Consider the following 23,480-nt stretch of genomic DNA (forward strand, 5'->3'; position numbering starts at 1 on the left):
TTTTATTTAGGTGCTTTAGATAATGTCTATCACTTTGTCTCCCATATAGAGCCTATGTAATACTTTGCACATGGAGATATCTCATAAGAACTTGGAAAATGTTTCTTCCTTTTTGAAATGATTCTTTATATTTTAATGGTGCTTGTTAGCTACAAGGAAGTAAATAATATTTGGCTAATGATACTGTGGTCTAGAGTAGAAGATATGTGTCTGTGTGAATGCTGTCAATTATAGATCTTCCTAATACCTTTGACTCTGGGGTGGGACAGCCCATGTGCAAGGAGAGATACTGCTAAGGAAGATACTAGCAACATCTGTGTTTAAAATGAAGTTGTCATCTCATGTGTGTGTCAAGCAGATATGCATCCTCTATTTACCACTAGAGAGCCTGAAGGACAGAAAATGAGAGCAAGTGGGAATGCAGCACTAGGTACCTGGAGCCAGATGGCTGTGGAGTTGAGGAAGTCCCTGAACATAGCACTTTGTTCCTGGCAGCGGGGATTATTGGGGTTAAGTTTAAATCTCATCTTGTCTCTTCTTTTAGATCATGAATTCCTTGAAAATAAGGATAATGTGTTACACTTTTTTGTTTCCCAAATGGCTTGAAATAGTTCTTTAAACATAGGCACATATTCAACCACTATTAAATGATTTGGCCCTTGTCTTGTTTGCTACTTTTTTCTCTTACTCTAGGATAAATTGTGTGACTTGTCCATAAGTACCAGGCTCTGTCATGTCTCTGGACCAGTACTGTCCAATAGAAATAGAGTGCAAACCACGTATGTCATTTTAAATTTCTTAGTAGACACTTTAAATAGATAAAAAGAAACAATAAATTAATTTTAATGTATATGTATTTAACTATTGTATCCACAATATCACTTCAACATGTTGAAGTAATTATATTGATTACCTAATCAATATAAAAATTATTATTGAGATATTTACATCTATTTTTATACTGTAAATTTAAAAATTTTATACTTACAGCACATCTCCGTTTGGGCTAGCCACATTTCAAATCGTAGCTTTAGTCATTTACTTCGCAAATAGATTGCAAAATTTTTTGGAGGCAAATTCCATGGCTTATTATGCCTAGCACATATTGTATGCTTGAAGAATTTTATGTATGTATTTATTTTTTAAGAGATGGAATCTTGCTATGTTGCCCAGGCTGGACATGAACTCCTAGGCTTATGAGTAATTTTCTTCCATCTTTCTATTTTCTAGGTTTTCAGTTAAATGTTTATTACTTTCATAATTTAAAGACTGTTTTTTTCTTTTACTGGAAACTATTTTCAAGGAAAAAGGTCATATTCACTTCTGGATCTGACAAGTTTGGCAAACTGAAACTTGTCTAGAGAAGAGCAATCAAGATTAGAATACTTTAAACAATAGCATTTAAGGAACAATTAAAGGAACTGAAAGGGGTTTGCCTGAAGAAAAGAAAGACTTGGGAGACATAATATTTGTTTTCAGTTGTATTTTATTTATGTATTTTTAAGACAGGATCTCAGTCTATCACCCAGATTAGTGTACAGTGGCACAATCATAGCTCACTACAACCTCAACTCCTGGGCTCAAGTGATCCTCCCACCTCAGCCTCCCAAGTAGCTAGGACTACAGGTGTGCACCACCACTCCCAGCTAATTTTTAATTTTTTTGTAGAGACAGGGTCTCACTGTGTTCCCCAGGGTGGTGTCAAACTCCTGGCCTCAAGCAGTCTTCCTCCCTCAGCCTTGCAAAGTGCTGAGAATACAGGCGTGAGCCACCAAGCCTGCCCTTCAATAAGAAAAAAACCAGCCACATCTTTTAAACATTTACTCTGTGCCAGGTACTATGCTAAGTGCTTAAGTGGATTATCCCATTTAATTTTTCTGTAATACTATGAGATTAGCCAGATAAGGACTGAAATTTAGAGAAGTTAGAGAGCCAATGACAGCATGAAAACTCATACTTGTTCTGACTCCAGTGTGCATATTTCTTTGAAGACTGCTTTTATGCCACCTAAGAGGAAAGATTCAGGGCAGAAACTAGAGACCTATTTTGACACACATAGGCAGAAATTCTAAAGATTAGGACTATTACAAAGCAACCCAGGTCCTCTGCAGAGGAAAAGCAAGCATCATTTCACTGAAAGGATTTAATTGTGAATGTATTCTTCCAAGTTCCTTCTTGTCCATAATTCTATAAAATCCTTGATCCTGAGTAGAACTCCTTTTCCATCTAAATGTTTTGTGGTTTGGGAGGGAAAATCCCCCAAATCCAGATTCACCAGAAGTTCTATTATGTATGAAGAGAAACCATTTATACCTTGGCTTTAGTAACAAAAACAAACAAACAAACAACCATAAAGCACTTGGGAAACTTTTATCTGTAACCACTTTTGTGGAACTATCAAAGGGATATAACTATTAGAAGAAAATTATGTTGTTTTAAAGGATAGTCTTTAAATATCTAGAAAATTAATTTTTGAACCTTTTATTCCTTGTTTATATTCAATAAGTTAGTGATTGTAGTTGCTGCTACAGTAGTCAAGTTTATCATATATAATGGGTAATAATGTATGGCTTCTGTAGCCTTCTCCCATCAGCAAGTACTAGGTATAACAGACCACCTAGCTGCTGTGGGAGAATCCAGAATGAAGCAGAAACTGAAGTTTGGCTGAGCCAGAAGAGAGATGAGAGGAACAGTGGGATCTCATTAGCACATGCAGCTGCAGCAGGCTAGATTTTGCCAGCCTCCAATGGTTTTCAGCTTTGGTACCTCTGAAGAATCTGGGACCAGATAAGTGTGTGTTGATTGAAGCCAAGAATTGAACCTGAGTGTCTGCTGATTCCCATTTCTTCTTCTAGTTAATTCAGTTGATTTCAGCAAATATTTACTGAGTATATTCTATATCCCAAGCTTTGTGCTGAGTCACTAAGATTCAAAAAATTAAACTTCAGGGTCCGGCATGGTGGCTCATGCCTGTAATCCCAGCACTTTGGGAGGCCGAAGCGGGCAGATCACAAGGTCAGGAGATCGAGACAATCCTGGCCAACATGGTGAAACCCCGTCTTTACTAAAAATACAAAAATTAGCTGGGCATGGTGGCACACACCAGTAGTCCCAGCTACTAGGGAAGCTGAGGCAGGAGAAACGCTTGAACACGGGGGGCAGAGGTTGCAGTGAGTCGAGATCGTGCCACTGCACTCCATGCTGGCGACAGAGTGAGACTCTGTCTCAAGAAAAAAAAAAAAAAAGAGACTTTACTCTTTAATAAGATCAGCCAATCAGCAAATACTTACTAAACCCCTGCTGTGTACCAGGCATCGTACAGGTGCTGTGGATACAGTGGAGAATTAAACATATGTTCCATCTTCCTGTTCTTACGATGTTTAAATCTAATAGGGAAGGTAAGAAAAATGGAAATGGCACATGTATACAAAAAATACAGCAAACATTTTAAGAAATTTTTATCTCAGACTAGGTTTTGAATGTCAAAGCAGCTTAATTTATCTGAATTTTAGATAGATGGGTATAATACCTCCTAGTTAATAGAGTGGTTGTGAAAATTCAACAAAAGATGTAAGGTTCTTGGTAAAGTACTTGACTCATAAGCACTCAGTTGTTAAATGAGTTTGCAGCAAGATACAAAGGTAATGCAGAGGAAGGAATGATTAACTTGTGGTAGATGAGGGGACTACAAGGAAAGTTTCATAAGAGAGGACATCTGAAATGGTTTTTAAGACCAAATAGAAGTTGGATTAGTAGGGAAGGCATGCCAAGAAAAGGTAAGCACAAAGGCATTGAAGAGTGTAACAGTGAAATATGTTTTGGAAATTATAAGTAGCTTGGCTATAGTTTGAATAGAGTTGAGGTTGTAGTTGTATAATATATGATGAGGGTGGAGAGCAGGGAAAGAAGTGACTAGAGAGATCACTGGAGCAAAATTATAGAAGGGGCTTGTATACCTAGCTAGGTAATTGTACCTTTAGTTTCCTTTTACTTCTGGGTAACAGTAGAGGGGGCTATTTTTGTTTGTTTGCTTTTGTTTTTGATACAGGGTCTCACTCTGTCACCCAGGCTGGAGTACAGTGATGCAATCCTGGCTCACTGCAACCTTGACCTCCTGGGCTCAAGTGATCTTCCCACTTCAGCCTCCTGAGTAGCTGGGACCACAGGTGCGCGCTGCCACACTAGCTATTTTTATTTTTTATAGAGAGGGAATCCCGCTATATTGCCCAGGTTGGTCTTGAACACCTGGCCTCAAGCAATCCTCCTGCCTCAGCCTCTCAAAGTGCTGGGTTTACAGGCATGAGCTACTGTGTCTGGCCATGGGAGCTATTTTTAAACACAACATTTACCCCACGCACATCCACATTAAGCATATTTTAGGCATGTCAAAATTAGGGAGTATGGAAAGCATGTTTTGCTTGACACACATTCACACTGTAAAGTTCTGGTGAGTTAAGTATCTTGATACACATTTACCTGATTGTAATTGAGTACCACTGTTTCAGGCAATAGGAAGCTATTGAAGAGCTTTAGAAAAATCAAAATACTAGTATAGATGATTGATTGGGCAGGAAACCACAGTGGAGGCAGGGAGACTAGTTAGAAGGCTATTCTTATATTACTCAATTCTAAATATTTGACATCTTATGGAGTATTAATTTCTCTCAAAAAGGAAGAAGTTCATTTACATTTTCTACCATGTAAAAAACTACTTAGGATAATACTGTTTGAAGCTATTTGATTTATGAAGGTATTATTAGTCTGATACCAAAACCAGGCAATGATAATATAGGAAAACTAAGCCAGTGTCTCTTATAAAATAGATACAGAAGTGGGGCATAGTGGCACATAACCTATAGTCTCAGTTACTTGGGGAGCTAAGGTGGGAGGAGTGCTTGAGCCCAGGAGTTCGAGGTTGTAGTGAGCCAAGATCGTGCTACTGCACTCCAGCCTGGGTGACAGAGCAAGACCCCATCTCATTTATACATACATACGTAAATATTCACTTGCTCATTCACCTAATCCTAAGGAAAATAACAGCAGATTGATAGTGTGGTAAAATAATAATACACTGTGACCAGGTAGGTTTTGTTCAAGGAATGCAAGAATGTCTCAGCATTAGAAAATATTATCAGTATGATTCACCTCTTACCTCACTTGATGCCCCAAAAAGGACTTGATAAACTATAATGTCCCTTCATGTTGAAAACTCTTGGCCACTAGGAATAGATGAAAAACTTCCTAAAGATTATAAAATTCATACAGAAACTAGAAAATTGCATGAATATCATACTTAGTGGTAAAACAGACACATTGACACATTCCTTTTAAACTCAGGGATAAGACAAGTGCTGTGTTTTGGATATTTGGCCACTCTAAATCTCAGTTGAAATTTGATCCCTAATGTTGGAGGTGAGGCCTAATGGGAAGTGTTTAGGTCATGGGAGTGGATCCTTCATGAATGGCTTGGTGCCGTTCTCATGGTAATGAGTGAGTTCTTACTCTCCTACTTCCAAGAGTTATTTAATAAGATCTGACATCTCCCTCCCCTCTTTCTGCTTCCACTTTTATCACATGACCTTTGCACCTGCCAGCTACCCTTAGCCTTCCACCATGAGTGGAAGCAGCCTGATGCACTCAGCAGCAGGACCAGATGCTGGTGCCGTACTTCTTATACAGCTTGCAGAACTGTGACCCAAATAAACTTCTTTTCCTTATAAATTACTCAGGCTCCGATATTTCTTTATAGCAGCATAAATGGACTAAGACAGTAAGGGTGCAATTTTCAGTGTTATACTGGAGTTTCTAGTCAAACAATACAAAAAAACAAGTTTTAAATATTTGAAAAAAGTAGCTAGAACAATTATTATGTGAAGATATTCTCTCTCTACAAAATCAACTGACAAACTACTAGTTAAGCAGTTTACAAAGTTGATGTTTAAAAATCTGTTTTTTCTAAAATTAGCACTTTGCAGATCTGGAAATGTAATAGGAAAAATCCTATTCATAAAAGCAACAAAATGTAAAATACGTGGGAATAGACCTTATTTTTTAAATGTAAGACATTTATGAAGAAAACAATAAAATGTCACAGAAGGATTTAAAGGAAAATCTGAATATGGAAATAAGTTATGTTCCTGTATGAATCTAGCTAAACTGGCTAAGATCCCAGTGGGATTTTTTCATGAGAGTTAATTAAACAAACTGAAATTCACACAGAATAATAAATGCCTAGGAATAACCAAGATAATTTTGAAAAAGAGCAAAAAAAAAGAGCAATCTGGTCTTTCAGATACCAAAACATAATCTAAAAGTCTATCAGTTAATAGTATGGTATTGGTAGAAAGAATAAAGAAATAAGCCCATGTATAAAAAGGAATTTAATACACAATGAAAATAACAATGCAAATGGATTAAACAACACAAATGAATTTAAATAACAAATCGTAAGAAAATTCAGATACGACCTTAAAGCAGGCCTTCTTAAACTTAGCCAAAAGAAGTGAAAGCCATAAATAAAAGATTAATTTGAGTTTACCAAAACAAAAACTTCTAGACAAAATACCGTAAAGTTAAAACACAAGCTATGTGCTAGATAAAAAATATTTCATATATGTGCAAAACAAACTATAGGCAAAGGGTTAATATTTTCGTTATATTAAAAAGAAGAAAAAACTACAAAGCGGTAAGAAGAAAGACAATCCAGAAGAAAAATGGGCAAGAGATAAGAAGTGTTAGTTGACAGAAGAAGAAATATAGATAATGGATAAATTTATAAAAATGGGACTACCTTACTATTAATTAGCAAAATATAAAGTGAAATAAAAGAATAACACTTTTGAGAGGGGCGGCAGAGCAAGATGGTGAAATAGAAGCCTCCACTTGTCGTCCTCCCCACAGGAACACCAAATTGAACAAATGTCCACACAAAAAAGAACCTTCATAAGAACCAAAAATCAGGTGAATGATCACAGTACCTAGATTTATCTTCATATCACTTAAAGAGACACTGAAGAGGATAGAAACGACAGTCTTGAATTACTGACATCACCCCTTCCCCATCTGCTGGCAGTGGTTGCGTGGAACGGAGAGAGAATCTGTGTGCTTGTGGGAGGGAGAGCACAGTGATTGTGTGACTTTGCATTGGAACTCAGTGCTGCCCTGTCACAGTGGAAAGCAACACTGGGCAGGACTCAGTAAGTTTCCACAGAGGGAGGATTTAGACCAGCCTTAGCCAGAGGTGAATTACCCATTCCAGTGTTCTGAATTTGAGTTCTGGAAAGCCTTGCCACCCAAGCTAAAGGGTCCTGGGGTCCTAAATAAACTTGAAAAGCAGACTAGGCCACAAGGACTGCAATTCTTGGGCAAGTCCTGGTGCTGTGCTGGTGTTGGAGCCAGTGGACTTGAGCAGCACATAACCTTGTGAGACACCAGGGGCAGCCAGGGGAGTGCTTACGCCACCTCTCCCCCAACCTCAGGTGGAGCAGCTTGCAGCTCTGGGAGAGACTCCTTCTTTCTGCTTGAAGAGAGGAGAGGAAAGAGTAAAGAGGACTTTATCTTGCAACTTGGATACCAGCTCAGCTATAGTAGGATAAGGCACCAGGCAGAGTACCAAGGCCCATTCCAGGCCCTAATTCCCAGACAGCATGACACATACTGAGCTAGAAGGGAGCCTGCTTCCCTGAAGGGAAGGACCCAGTCCTGGCAGGATTCATCCCCTGCTGACTAAAGAGCCTTTGGGTCCTGAATAATCAGCAACAGTATTCAGACAGTATTTGCCGTGGTCCTGAGGTAAGACTCAGAGATGTGCTGGCTTCAAGTGTGACCCAACACATTCCCAGCTGTGGTGGCTATGAGGAAGGACTCTTTCTGATTGAGAAAAGGAGAGGGAAGAGTAAAGACTTCATGTTGCAGTTAGGTGCCAGTGGGGTAGAGCACCAGGTGGACTCTTGGGGTTCCCAATTCCAGGCCTTGGCTCTTGGACAGCATTTCTGGACCTACCCTGGGCCAGAGGGGACCACTGCCCTGAAGAGGCAGTCCCAGGCCTGACAGCATTCACCATAAGCTGACTGAAGAGCCCTTAGGCCATGAATAAACACTGGTGGTAGCCAGGCAGTACTTGCCATGGGCCTGGGGTAGTTGTAGCCATGGGGAGAGACTATGCTTGTGGAAAGGATAGGGAAGAGTAGGAAGGACTTTGTCTTGTGACTTGGATGCCAGCTCAGCTGCAGTATAGTAGAGCACCAGGTAGATTCCTAAGGTTTCCAATTCCAAGCCCTGGCTCCTGGATGGCATCTCTGGACTCACCTGGGACCAGGGGCAACCCACTGCCCTGAAGGGAAGGACAGAAGCCTGGCTGGCTTTGCTACCTGCTGATTATGGAGCCCTAGGGCCTTGAGTGAACACAGATAGCCAGGCAGTGGTTACTGTAGGCCTTGGGTGAGTCCCAGTGTTGTGATGGCTTCAGGTCTGACCCAGCACAGTCCTAGTGCTGGTGGCCACAGGGGTACTTGTGTCACTCCACCCCCAGCTCCAGGAAGCTCAGCACAGAGAGAGACCCCATTTATTTGGGAGAAAATAAAGGAAGAGTGTAAGAATCTCTGTCTGGTAATCCAGAGAATTCTTCTGGATCTTATCCAACACCACCAAAATAGTACCTCTGTGAGTCTGCAAGAGCTAGGTGCTTGGGGTGCCCCCTAATGCAGCTATGGCTGCAGTGACCAAAAACTTAGATGACAATACCCAAGTTTCTTTGAATACCTGGAAAGCTTTCGCAGGAAGAATGGGTACAAACAAGCCCAGACTACAAAGACTACAATAAATACCTAACTCTTCAATGCCCAGTCACTGATCAATATTCACAAACTCAAGACTGTCTAGGAAAACATGACTTCACCACATGAACTAAATAAGGCACCAGTGACCAATCCCAGAGAGACAGAGATATGTGACCTTTCAGACAGAATTCAAAATAGCTGTTTTGAGGAAATTCAACAAAATTTGAGATAACAGAGAAGGAATTCAGAAAATTTATCTATAGATAAATTTAACAAAGCAATTGAAATAATTAAAAAGAACAGAAATTCTGGAGTTGAAAAATGCAATTGACATAATAAAGAATGCATCAGAGTCTCTTAACATATTTGATGAGGCAGAAGTAAGAATTAGCTTGAAGACAGGTTATTTGAATATACACAAAGGAGACAAAAGAAAAAGAATACAAAAACAATGCAGCACACCTACAATAGAAAATAGCCTCAAAAGGGCAAATTTAAGAGTTAGTGGTCTTAAAGAGGAGGTAGAGAGATTGGCATAGAAAATTTATTGAAAGAGTTAATAACAGAACTTCCCAAACCTAGAGAAACATATCAGTATTCAAATAAAAGAAGGTTATAGAACACCAAGCAGATTTAACCCAAATAAGACTACCTCAAGGCATTTAATAATCAAACTCCCAGAGGTCAAAGATAAAGAATTCTAAAAGCAGAAAGAGAAAAGAAACAAATAATATACAATGGAACTCCAGTACATCTGGAAGCAGACTTCTCAGTGAAAACCTTACAGGCCAGGGGAGAGTGGCATAACATATTTAAAATGCTGAAGGGAAAAAAAAAAAAACTTTTATGCTAAAATAGTATATCCAGTCAAAATATCCTTCAAACATGTAAAAGAATAAAGACTTTCCCAGACACACAAAAGCTGGAGGATTTCATCAACACCAGACTTACAAGAAATGCTAAAGGTAGTTCTTGCATCTGAAAGAAAAGGACATTAATGAACACTAAGAAATCATCTGAAGGTACAAAACTCATTGATAAGTACACAGAAAAACACAGAATAACATTGTAATTGTTGTGTGTAAACAACTCATATCTTGAGTAGAAAGACTAAAAGAGGAACCAATCAAAAATATTAACTATGACAACTTTTCAAGACATAAACAGTACAATAATATATAAATAGAAACAATAGCTATAAATAGGTTGGGCATGGTGGCTCACACCTGTAATCCCGCACTTTGGGAGGCCGAGGTGGACAGATTGCTTGAGCCCAGGAATTTGAGACCAGCCTGGACAACACGGTGAGACCACATCTCTACAACAAAAAATTGACTAAGTGTAGTGGTGTGTGCCTGTAGACCCAGCTACTTGGGAGGCTGATGTGGGAGGATTGCTTGAGCTGGGAGGCAGTGGTTGTAGTGAGCTGAGATCACACCACTGCACTCAAGCCTAGGCAACTTGAGACCCTGTCTTAGAAAAAAGAAAAGAAGTAGAGACAACAAAAATTAAAAAGTGGAGTGCTGAAGTTAAAATGTAGAGTTTTTATTGGTTTTCTCTATGCTTGTTTGTTTGTTTATGAAATCAGTTTTAAATTGTCACCACTTTACAATAATGGGTTATGATACTATTTGCAAGCAAACTCAAACCAAAAACATAACAACAGATACACAAAAAATAAAAAGCAAGATATTTAAACATACCACCAGAGAAAATCACCTGCACTAAAGAAAGACAGGAAAGAAGAGAAGACCACAAAACAACCAGAAAACAAAGTTGCAGGAATAAGTCCTTATTAATAATAACATTGAATGTAAATAGACTAAACTCGCCAATCAAAAGACGTGGAGTGGCTGAATGAATACAAAAACAAGACCCACTGACCTGTTGCCTACTAGAAACACTCTTTATCTGTAAAGACACATATAGACTGAAAATAAAGTGAGGGACAAAGATATTCCATGCTGATGCAAACTAAAAAGTGGGAGTAGCTATATGTATATCAGACAAAATAGATTTCAAGACAAAAACTATAAAAAGAGGCAAAAGTCATTATATAATGATAAGGGGGTCAATTCAGCAAGAGGATATAACAGTTATACATATATATGCACCCAACACTGGAGCACCCAAATAGGTAAAGCAAATATTATTAGAGCTGAAGAGGGAGAGATGGGCCCCACCCAATACAATAAGAGCTGGAGACTTCAATACCCCACTTTCAGTGTTGGACAGATAATCGAGATAGAAAAATTTACGTAATCTGCACTATATATCAAATGGACTTAATAATTACCTACAGAACACTTCATCCAACAGCTGCAGAATACACATTCTTCTCCTCAAGACATGGATCATTCTCAAGGATGGACCATGTTAGGTCACAAAACAAGTCTTGGATAACATTCAAAAAACTGAAATTATATCAAGTATATTTTCTGACCACAATGAAATAAAACTAGTAATCAATAAGAGGAGGAATTTTGGATACTATACAAACACATAGAAAATAAACACTATGCTCCTAAATGACCAGTGGGCCAATGAAATTAAGATGGAAATTTTAAAATTTCTTGCAACAAATGATAATGGAAACACAACATACCAAAGCCTGTGAGATACAGTGAAAGCCATACTAAAAGGAAAGTTTATAGCTATAAGAGCCTACATCAAGAATGTAGAAAACTCTCAAATAACCAACCCAACGATGCATCCTAAAGAATTAGAAGAGCAAGAACAAACCAAACGCAAAATTAGTAGGAGACAAGAAAAATAAAGATCAGAGCAGAAATAAATGAAATCAAAACAAAAAAGTAGAAAAGATCAACAAAATAAAAAGTTGGTTTTTGAAACATGAAATTGGCAAACCTTTAGCTAGACTAAGAAAAAAGAAAGAAGACCCAAATAAAATCAGATGAAAAAGGAGACATTGCACCTGATACTGCAGAAATTCAAAGGATTACTAGAGGATACTATGAGCAACTATATGCCAATAAGTTGGAAAATCTAGAAGAAATGGATAAATTTCTAGACACGTACAACCTACGAAGGTTGAACCATGAAGAAATCCAAAACCTGAACAGACCAATAACAAGTAATGAAATCCAAGCTGTAATAAAAGTCTCCCAGTAAAGAAAAATGGGACCTGATGGCTTCACTGCTGAATTTTACCAAACATTTAAAAAAGAAATAACACCAGTCCTACTCAAACTATTCTGAAAAATAGAGGAGGAGGGAATACTTTCAGACTCCTTCTACGAGGCTAGTTACCCTAATACCAAAACCAGACAGACAAAAACAAAAAAACTACAGGCCAATATCCCTGATGAACATTGATGCAGAAATCATCAGCAAAATACTAGCAAACCAAATTCAGCAACACATTACAAAGATTATTCAGGCTGGGCACAGTGGCTCGTGCCTGTAATCCCAGCACTTTGAGAGGCTGAGGCGGGTGGATCACTTGAGATCAGGAGTTCAAGATCAGCCTGGCCAACATGGTGAAACCCCGTCTCTTCTAAAAATACAAAAATTAGCCAGACATGGTGGCGCGCACTTCTTATTCCAGCTACTCAAGAGGCAGAGGTGGGAGGATTGCCTGAACCTGGGAAATGGAGGTTGCAGTAAGCCAGGATCATGCCGCTGCCCTCTATCCTGGGTGACACAGCAAGACTCCGTCTCAAAAAAAAAAAAAAAAAAAAAAGGAAAAAGATTATTCATTATGATCAAGTGGGATTTATTCTAGGATGTGAGGATGGTTCAGCATATGCAAATCAATCAGTGTGATACATCATATCAACAGAATGAAGGACAAAAACCATATGATCATTTCAATTGATGCTGGAAAAGCATTTGATAAAATTCAACATCCCTTCATGATAAAAAAAAAAAACTTAAACTGAGTATAGAAGGAATGTAACACAATAAAAGCCATATACAATAGACCCACAGCTTGTATAATACTAAAAGGATGATAAATGAAAAGTTGAAACCTTTCTTGTAAGATCTGGAAAATGGCAAGGATACTCACTTTCATCACTGTTATTCAACATATTATTGGAAGTCTTAGCTAGAGCAATCAGACAAGAGAAAGAAAGGGCATCCAAATTGGAAAGGAAAAAGTAAATTATCCTGTTTTGCAGATGATATGAACTTATATTTAGAAAATCCTAAAGACTCCACCAAAAAACTGTTAGAACTGATCAATTTAATAAAGTTACAGGATACAAAATTGATGTACAAAAATTAGCAGCATTCTTATATGCCAACAGCAAACAATCTGAAAAATCAAGAAAGTAACCCTATTTACAGTAGCTACAAATAAAATACCTAGGAATTAACCAAAGAAGTGAAATACAATGAAATGTATAAAACACTGATGAAAGAAATTGAAGAGGACACGAAAAAGAGAAAGATATTCCATGTTCAGGGATTGGAAGAATCAACATTGTTAAAGTGTCCGTAGCACCCAAAACAATCTACAGATGCAACACAATCCTATCAAAAATACCAATGATATTCTTCAAAAAAATGGAACAATTGTGAAATTTCTATAGAACCACAGAAGACCCAGAATAGCCAAAGCTATCCTGATAGAAAAGAACAAAACTGGAGGAATAACATTACCTGACTTCAGATTATACCACAGGGTTATAACAACCAGAGCAGCATGGTACTGCTATAAAGACAGACACATAGACCAATGGAACAGAATAGAGAACCCAGAAACAAATCCATACATCTACAGTGAACTCATTTTCAACAGAGGTGCTAAGAACACATGTTGGGGCAAGGACAGTTTCTTCAATAAATCATGCTGGGAAAACTGGATATCCATATACAGAAGAATGAAACTAAACCCCTATCTCTTGCCATATACAAAAATCAATAAAAATGAATTAAAGACTCAAACTATGAAAGTACTAAAAGAAAACATTGAGAAAACTCTCCAGGACATTGGACTGTGGAAAGATTTTTTTTGAGTAATACCCAACAAGCACAGGTAACCAAAGCAAAAATGGACAAATGGGATCATGTCAAGTTAAAAGGCTTCTGCACAGCAAAGGAAACAACAAAGTGAAGAAACAACCCACAGAATGGGAGAAAATATTTGCAAACTATCCATCTGACAAGGGATTAATAACCAGAATATATAAGGAGCTCAACAACTCTATAGGAAAAAATCTAATAATCTAATTTTAAAATGGGCAAAAGATCTGAATAGATATTTCTCAAAGGAATATATTCATATGGCAGACACGCATATGAAAAGGTGCTCAACATCACTGATCACCAGAGAAATGGAAATGAAAACTATAATGAGGTATCATCTCACCCCAGTTAAAATGGCTTTTATGCAAAAGACAGGCAATAACAAATGCTGGTGAGGATGTGGAGGAAAGGGAACCTTCATACACTGTTGGTGAGAATGTAAATTAGTAAAGCCACTATGGAGAACAGTTTGTTGATTCCTTAAAAAAAAAAAAAAAACTAAAAATAGAACTACCGTATAATGCAGCAATCCCGCTACTATGTATATAGCCAAAGGAAAGGAAATCAGTACATCGAAGAGATATTACACTCCCATGTTTATTACAGCACTATTTACAATAGCCAAGATTTGGAAGCAACCAGTGTCTATCAGTAGATGAATGGATAAGGAAAATGTGGTACATATACACAAAGGAGTACTATTTGGTTATAAAAAAGACTGAGATCTCTGTCATTTGCAACAACATGGATGGAACTGGAGGTCATTACGGTAAGTGAAATAAGCCAGGCACAGAAAAAATTCACATGTTCTCACTTACTTATGGGAGCTAAAAATTAAAACAATTGAACTCATGGAGAGTAGAAGGATGGTTACCAGAGGCTGGGAACAGTAGTGGATGGGGAGAGGGAGGTGGGAGGTGGAGGATAATTGGGGATGGTTAATGAGTACAAAAATATTTAAATAGAATGAATAAGATCTTGTATTTGATGGCACAACAGGGTGACTACAGTCAACAATAGTTTACTGTGTATTTTAAAATAGCTAAAAGGGTATAGTTAGATTGTTTTCAACACGAAGAAAGGATAAATGCTTAAAGTGATGGCTACCTCATTTGCCCGATGTGATGGTTATGCATTGTTTGCCTGTATCAGAATATCTAATGTACTCCACAAATGTATACCCTTACTATGTACCCACCAAATTTTTTAAAAAACAATACCATTTTTTACTTATCAAATTAGCCAAAATTAAGTTTGAGGATATCATATATTTGTGGGGATACCTATTTCTCCACACTTTCACCAATACCTGATAAACCTCTAAGAACCTGTTTTGTTCGCCAAAAAAACTGTGCTAATATTTTCCCAGCCGACTTCTTAAGAAGATAATATGAGATTATCTGAGATAATCTGGTGAAATTATAAAGTGATACAGAAGCATATTATTACTACCCAGTTCTTCCAATCTTGTCTCTGTTCTCTAGTCTCGGGTTAGGATAGTGGGCCTTCATTTTGGGTATACATTAGAATCACCTGGAGAAGTCGAAAATGTGTAAATAACTTGAATCAGAATTTCTGGTGGGTTTGCCCCTGGGCAGTAGTATTTAGGTGATTGATTCTGTTATGTAGCCAGGGTTGAAAACCACCTGGAACCAGGCAGCTTGGATTTGAAAATTGGCTCTGTCACTTATTAGCTATTTAGCCTTGGGCAAGTTACTTAATCTCTCTGTAAAATGCCCTTATCTGTAAAATGCTGAAAATTATGTCTAAGTAGTAAAGAGTTGTGAGGAGAAAGTTAGGTAATTCATCTGAAGCACTTAGATTGCTGACTGGCACATAGATTTAGTAGACATTAGCTCCTACTGCTATTGTTGCAGTTATTGCTAAACACCATAATATTCTAGTGAGAAAATGGTTGGTTAAGTCTAGTTCTTAAATAGCTGCTTTCCACTCATCCATTTCAGAAGTAGCAAAGTTGTACTATTTGTGACAAGATCTGGAGTAGCTACCATAGATCTGCTCTGACTTTTTGATTATCTTTAAAGCATGTGTTAGTCTGTGAATTTACTTTGCTCATTTATTTTTTTCTAGTCTTCTTCCACCATAGTAGAATGTAGATATCATGAGAGCAGGAGTATTGCCAGTATTTTTCCCTCCTGTAACCCAATTACTCCATTGGTGCCAGATTTTTATTAGAAAGATTTGTTAAATAAATAAATGAAAATTTTGTTTTTAATATTTGTAGTGATTTTCTGACAGGCACCTATGATTGTAAATCATTGCTTTCAAGTTAAAGGTTGGAATTTCAAATATATATTTTGTTTCTGTTTTGTAAACCTGGTTCTATTATCTAGAGCAATCAAGCAAATTCATACTATCTTTTCCACTTAATTTTATTTCTAACATAGGGATTTGTTTTTGTCATTGAAGGCTTTACTGTCACTAAATAACTCCTGTAAATTAGCAAATAGCTTTCAGGAACAAACAGCAAAGTATAGTAGAATTTCATTCCATTGTTGCCTTTAAAAGGTATTCATTAGAATAATAGAAATAGAATCAGACTTGATTTTCTAGGGGATTTTAAAAATATGACTTAAGAATCTGACTTGTTTTGTGATTTACGTTGACTTTTATATTGGTAACTTACCTTGGGTCTAGTTCTGTTTTTACTCCTAATTTGTTATGTGACCCTGGGCAAATAATTTTCTTTCTCTTGGCCTCAGTTTTCTCATTCATAAAATGTGACGGCTAGACTAGACAGTTCTCTTATTTTATTCTTAAAAGTTAAAATTTGGTGACATTTGCTAGCCCTAATTGTGATATATTATTGTCAAAGAATCCAGTTTAGTTTAGGAAGAAGATCCCCAATTATTTCAGATTTTTTTCACCCTCTAAAATTGTACCTCCCCCATGATATTATGATTTTTTTCAATAAATTTTTAATAGGTACACAAGCTGGTATGTTCTGCAGTATCTGTCTTAAGTGAATCTTTAGTAGATTCCATGACTTCTGCTACTTTCAGCAAATTTCATGATTTGATTGTCATGTTTCTGTGATGTCCTGAGCCAAGATATAAACTGACTCACCGTCCTTATCTAAGGGATTCTCTCTCCAGAGTAAGGAAAAGATATCCAAGGAATATAGATGAAAACCAGAGCTCAGAGGGTCATTGTCTAAAGGCTCTTAACTGTGTGTGTCAAGAAAGGATAGGAAGAATTAAGATTGAAAGAGGGATTTAGGTAGAGAAAGCCATATTTTGAAGTTGGGACAGAACCACAATATATGGCAAAACTAGTAGAAAATCATCATTCTTTCATTTTGCTTAAAACTAGAAAGTCTTTTGATTCTCTTGGGTCCTTTGAATTTTGATGGCAGTTCATTTTACAAAGTTATCATTGGGAATTGGGTGAAATTTGTTATCCTAGATGTGTCTTAACTACTTTTCCTTTTTCTCCTAGGCAGCGATTATTAGTAGAGTTCAGTGTAGGATTGTAGCTTTGGATCTGCGAAGTCATGGTGAGTAAAGTTCTTAATTAGCCATTAACTGGATTATAGTCATCAAGCCCCTTTGAATAGTTGTAACTATTAGAAATTTCAACGTGGCCATAAAATAACCTGGTCTATTCCATTTGAGCTTTTTGTTGTTGTCGTTGGAGATGGAGTCTCATTCTGTCGCCCAGGCTGGGGTGCAGTGGCACAATCTCAGCTCACTGCAACCTCTGCCTCCTGGGTTCAAGCAATTATCCTGCCTCAGTCTCCCCAGTAGCTGGGATTACAGGTATGCGCCACCATGCCCAGCTAATTTTTGTATTTTTAGTAGAGACCGGGTTTCACCATGTTGGCCAGGCTGATATCAAACTCTTGACCTCAAGTGATCCATCCACCTCAGCCTCCCAGAGTGCTAGCATCACAGGTGTGAGCCACTGCGCCCAGCTCGATTTGGGCATTTTGAAGGAAGTCCTAGCTTCTAGTCTTTACAAATGTATGTGTGTGTATATATATTAAAGTTTTATGTATAATATTTATTTTTGTATTTTATGTGTGTTAAGCTAAGAAAATGTCCTTTAAAGTCAAATTCTTTTTTTTTTTAATTTTTTTTTATTATACTTTTAAGTTTTAGGGTACATGTGCACATTGTGCAGGTTAGTTACATATGTATACATGTGCCATGCTGGTGCGCTGCACCCACCAACTCGTCATCTAGCATTAGGTATATCTCCCAATGCTATCCCTCCCCCCTTCCCCCACCCCACCACAGTCCCCAGAGTGTGATATTCCCCTTCCTGTGTCCATGTGATCTCATTGTTCAGTTCCCACCTATGAGTGAGAATATGCGGTGTTTGGTTTTTTGTGCTTGCGATAGTTTACTGAGAATGATGATTTCCAATTTCATCCATGTCCCTACAAAGGACATGAACTCATCATTTTTTATGGCTGCATAGTATTCCATGGTGTATATGTGCCACATTTTCTTAATCCAGTCTATCATTCTTGGACATTTGGGTTGGTTCCAAGTCTTTGCTATTGTGAATAATGCCGCAATAAACATACGTGTGCCTGTGTCTTTATAGCAGCAAGATTTATAGTCCTTTGGGTATATACCCAGTAGTGGGATGGCTGGGTCAAATGGTATTTCTAGTTCTAGATCCCTGAGGAATCGCCACACTGACTTCCGCAATGGTTGAACTAGTTTACAGTCCCACCAACAGTGTAAAAGTGTTCCTATTTCTCCACATCCTCTCCAGCACCTGTTGTTTCCTGACTTTTTAATGATTGCCATTCTAACTGGTGTGAGATGGTATCTCATTGTGGTTTTGATTTGCATTTCTCTGATGGCCAGTGATGATGAGCATTTTTTCATGTGTTTTTTGGCTGCATAAATGTCTTCTTTTGAGAAGTGTCTGTTCATGTCCTTCGCCCACTTTTTGATGGGGTTGTTTGTTTTTTTCTTGTAAATTTGTTTGAGTTCATTGTAGATTCTGGATATTAGCCCTTTGTCAGATGAGTAAGTTGCGAAAATTTTCTCCCATTTTGTAGGTTGCCTGTTCACTCTGATGGTAGTTTCTTTTGCTGTGCAGAAGCTCTTTAGTTTAATTAGATCCCATTTGTCAATTTTGTCTTTTGTTGCCATTGCTTTTGGTGTTTTAGACATTAAGTCCTTGTCCATGCCTATGTCCTGAATGGTGATGCCTAGGTTTTCTTCTAGGGTTTTTATGGTTTTAGGTCTAACATTTAAGTCTTTAATCCATCTTGAATTGATTTTTGTATAAGGTGTAAGGAAGGGATCCAGTGTCAGCTTTCTACATATGGCTAGCCAGTTTTCCCAGCACCATTTATTAAATAGGGAATCCTTTCCCCATTGCTTGTTTTTCTCAGGTTTGTCAAAGATCAGATAGTTGTAGATATGTGGCGATATTTCTGAGGGCTCTGTTCTGTTCCATTGATCTATATCTCTGTTTTGGTACCAGTACCATGCTGTTTTGGTTACTGTAGCCTTGTAGTATAGTTTGAAGTCAGGTAGTGTGATGCCTCCAGCTTTGTTCTTTTGGCTTAGGATTGACTTGGCGATGCGGGCTCTTTTTTGGTTCCATATGAACTTTAAAGTAGTTTTTTCCAATTCTGTGAAGAAAGTCATTGGTAGCTTGATGGGGATGGCATTGAATCTGTAAATTACCTTGGGCAGTATGGCCATTTTCACGATATTGATTCTTCCTACCCATGGGCATGGAATGTTCTTCCATTTGTTTGTATCCTCTTTTATTTCCTTGAGCAGTGGTTTGTAGTTCTCCTTGAAGAGGTCCTTCACATCCCTTGTAAGTTGGATTCCTAGGTATTTTATTCTCTTTGAAGCAATTGTGAATGGGAGTTCACTCATGATTTGGTTCTCTGTTTGTCTGTTATTGGTGTATAAGAATGCTTGTGATTTTTGTACATTGATTTTGTATCCTGAGACTTTGCTGAAGTTGCTTATCAGCTTAAGGAGATTTTGGGCTGAGACAATGGGGTTTTCTAGATATACAATCATGTCGTCTGCAAACAGGGACAATTTGACTTCCTCTTTTCCTAATTGAATACCCTTTATTTCCTTCTCCTGCCTAATTGCCCTGGCCAGAACTTCAAATTCTTATGCTGATGTATAAGGAATGTGGATAAATCTTTGCTAGGCTACTGTAATTATCCTTCTTAGGATAACTATAAAGATTTTTCTGAAGAAAATCCTTGCTAAACTCATTGTGTAAAATTGTGAAGTCCCTAATCCATTGTCCAAAGATGATATTTTTAAAAGAGAATACTTCTGCTTTTATAATTCCTGTCTGTGGGAATTTTATTTTTAAAATATTTTCATTTTAGGTGAAACAAAGGTCAAGAATCCTGAAGATCTGTCTGCAGAAACAATGGCAAAGTAAGTAACCAAATATTTCTTATACATTGCCTGTCTCCCATCACTATTATAAATAGTACTATAACTTTATCACTTTCCTGATGAGATTGTTGGGGAATAATTACCACAAGGAAAATTTTACTTCTGTTCTCTCTCCTCTACTTCTGGTTTCTCCTTACTATTTAATCTTGAAAGAAACCTGCGTCTTTCTTGGTGTGTCCAATGCAATGGTCATCATATAAAGCACATGAAAATTCTTCAAGGCACAGTTTAGTTTGTGAAGGCTTTTGAAAAGTTTTCTTCTGTTGATGGAATTGCGTTGAATCTGGGTACTTATCATGGACTCACGCTTGGAAAAGTAGTTGTATGCAAGAGGCCTTGAGAGTATCTCCTTCAGGTATCCTGCGTACATTCTTCGTCTTATGTCATAGAAAGATGAGATCATGATATTAAAAAATGACAGTTACACCCTGGGCCTAAAGTAAAAAATGAATGTAACATGTACAGTGGCTCTTAAAACTGCTCACTCATCAGAATCACTTGAGAAGTTACTAGACATACAGATGACTTGACCCTACCCCAGACCTACTTCTAGCAGTGGAGTCTGGGCATTTATATTTTGGTAAAGCTCTGTGTAGGAATCTGATGGAGCCAGTTCAATGACTGTTGTTTGGGAATCACTGACCTATAGCATAAATAGGATTCTTCTAGCCACTCTGCTTTAATACGTACTCTCTCAGGTATTTGGTCACTTTGGCCAAAAATATCTTGCCCTCTTTTACTTTAGCAGCTTTAATTTAAGAATAAACATTTTCCTTCAGAGCCCAAACTGATGTAGGCAACAATTTTAATATTATTATTTTTTCACTGTCTACCTGGAGATAATTGTTTTATTATTATGGTAGGTGTTATTTGTGTACTTTTTATCTGCCAACTTTCATTAAAGTATAAACTAAGCATTTATTAATAATAAATCATTAACTTATTTTGTGTAATCATTTATTGAAATTAATCCTCATTATTAACTCTGTAATACAGATATACCCTTTTACAGATGAGGAAACTGGCTCATATAGGTTGAATAACTGTATGAAGTCACACAGTCAGTAGATTGAATTTATGATCATTCAACTATAGTCCTTGGCAGAGAGAGAGAGAAAGAAATAATGTGTATAGTATGAATGTCATTCCACTCAATGAACATATGCCTTAAAAAGTATGAAAAGAGAGGTAAGAATCTGTTCCTCCAATTATTCCTACTGCCTTCATTAATATGAGAGCAATATATCCTCAAACAGTCAAGGCTGTTAGTGATACCTATAGGAAGATTTGTGAATGATTTTTAAGGAAGTAAAGGGTTTCTTAACTTTTAACAAAAAAGTGAAATACATCATCTGAGTGTCCAGGCAGTCAGACAAATTGATGATGATAGCTTGGTTGACATTCTAGAGGAAATTGAAGAATTGATTGAGAACCTTAAGGAAACATGGACTAAATAATAATGTTTCAGTCTGGGGCTCATCAGGAAAGAGAAACCATGTAGTAATTTGAATAAGTAAAGTTGAATATAAAGAATTATTCACTATAACAGGGGATTGGAATGAGCGATTGGTAGTAAGAAGTAACAAAAACTCTTAATAATATAGGAATAGCAGATATAAGGAGCAGCCACTACTCCCTTGGGCTGAGGGAGTACACCCAGGGTTGAGATCCAGACCTTGTTGGAGAATGCACGACCATGGTTTACTGAAGGTTAGAACTTGCTGAAAATCTGCCCTTTTGGAACCTGACAGAATTCTGCCCTCTAGGGTATAGGGAAAGCTATTCGTGGGGAGGATCTCACCAGAGGCACTTGGCTACAAAAACACTGGGTTGGGGAGGGCTAGAGTACTGGAGAAGCCACTTGTGCTGGAGGAATTGTGCAGGAATTGGCAGGAGTTGGATACTGGGGGAAGTTCTGTGTTTCTCTAGCACCCTCCATTAACATAGCTTAATATCATGCCTACTGGCAAGGGTAAAATATTTACAGGCCTCACATCTATTTTTGTAGAGTAGGCAATGAAGGATGAATTGGAGTTGAGGTAGTAAGTTGATAACTGGCACCAAAAAAATTTTTTAATGGTAAAAATCATCCACAGTAGATGATGACCAAGAATCAAAAGGGCGAACAAATTGGATTCTTGCTGAAATTATCCAAGCAGTAAAACATTTGTGTGATTTCTGAATTCAGTTACTGTGGAAAAAAAAAAACCTCAAAATGGGCATACTTATTATCAACTGCAGAACCTAAATACTACCTAAGAAAGTATGTGAAAAAGCCAGAATTTGAGCTTGGGTCATTCTGATATTCCAATTTCTGTGATACACAGTAATGCTTCTCAGAAAATTAACCTAGCATTAAAATATGACAGAATCCCTTTAAAAAGCATCCACCAAAATTGTAATACATCCAGTTACAGTCTAGATTTGTAGGTAACCCTTGCTACTTCATCTTTATTGTATTTCTCTGGATTTTCAGGACTTATCTCAAGTAAGGTACTTGTTGACTGAATGCTCTGCTTGATTTTAATAACAATAAATTTCTCTTGGTGGTAGATGATCAAGTGATTGATCGTAACTACCTTCTACCTGGGTAAATATGCCTTTCTTAAGCTCAGACACGATGTTCAGTTGGTGTGTTTCAGACCTCTCTACCTTTGTGCATGAGGCAGATACTGCAGAACCCCTTCAATTCAGTTAATGTGTATTTTAAGGTGACTTGGACTTAGATAATCGTCCATAGCATCCTTTTATTTTACTCATTATTTGTCTGTTACCAACCGAAAGTTTCTTGGAATTGTTCAAGAATTATTCTGGAAATTACATGTTGATATTTAATATAAACATGTTTTAAACTTTAGTCTTTTCTTTAAAAAAAAAAAAACAGTTTGCCCCCAAAATTGTATCCAATATTGTTTTAGATTAATTAATTGAGCATATAATTTTTTCTGGTCTGTTATTTTAATATGCAGAATTAGCTTTGGAATACTACCTGTTTTATTTTTTAGAAACTGTATGTGTAATAATTTCCTCTGTGTTACTACTCTAAAGACCACATATTATCGAATCTTTGTTCCTGATATTTTCCAGTGGCCTCTGAGCAAAGGCATCATGGTTTTGACTTCATGAAATTACTCTGAATTCACACTACCCTATGCCAAGGGGAGATGGCTTTACCATTTATGCCTGAGGTTGCAATTTTTTGAATTTTTGCAATCAGAACTTGGTGATGACCTTGGGCAGTAGGATATAAATAACTCCCACATGCTTAGTGTTCCAGTAGTGGAAC

At 37.4% G+C, this 23,480-nt stretch overlaps 1 protein-coding gene and 1 long non-coding RNA gene across 5 annotated transcripts in view; both read left to right on the forward strand.

The window, feature by feature from the left end:
• Positions 1-23,480, forward strand: part of PPME1 (protein phosphatase methylesterase 1) — an 83,415-nt gene that overhangs the window by 33,795 nt on the left and 26,140 nt on the right. For all 4 annotated transcript variants that reach the window (NM_001271593.2, NM_016147.3, XM_047427116.1 and 1 more), the window contains exons 4-5: positions 17,229-17,286; positions 20,122-20,173. In NM_001271593.2, the coding sequence (NP_001258522.1) occupies positions 17,229-17,286; positions 20,122-20,173 (110 nt within the window). The remainder of the gene's footprint in view (positions 1-17,228; positions 17,287-20,121; positions 20,174-23,480) is intronic.
• Positions 4,125-5,724, forward strand: LOC105369383 (uncharacterized). Its single transcript, XR_950297.3, has 2 exons — positions 4,125-4,166; positions 5,595-5,724. It is a non-coding gene; the product is annotated as an uncharacterized LOC105369383 (long non-coding RNA).

Source organism: Homo sapiens, chromosome 11, assembly GCF_000001405.40.
Source record: "Homo sapiens chromosome 11, GRCh38.p14 Primary Assembly".
NCBI classification, from domain to species: domain Eukaryota; kingdom Metazoa; phylum Chordata; class Mammalia; order Primates; family Hominidae; genus Homo; species Homo sapiens.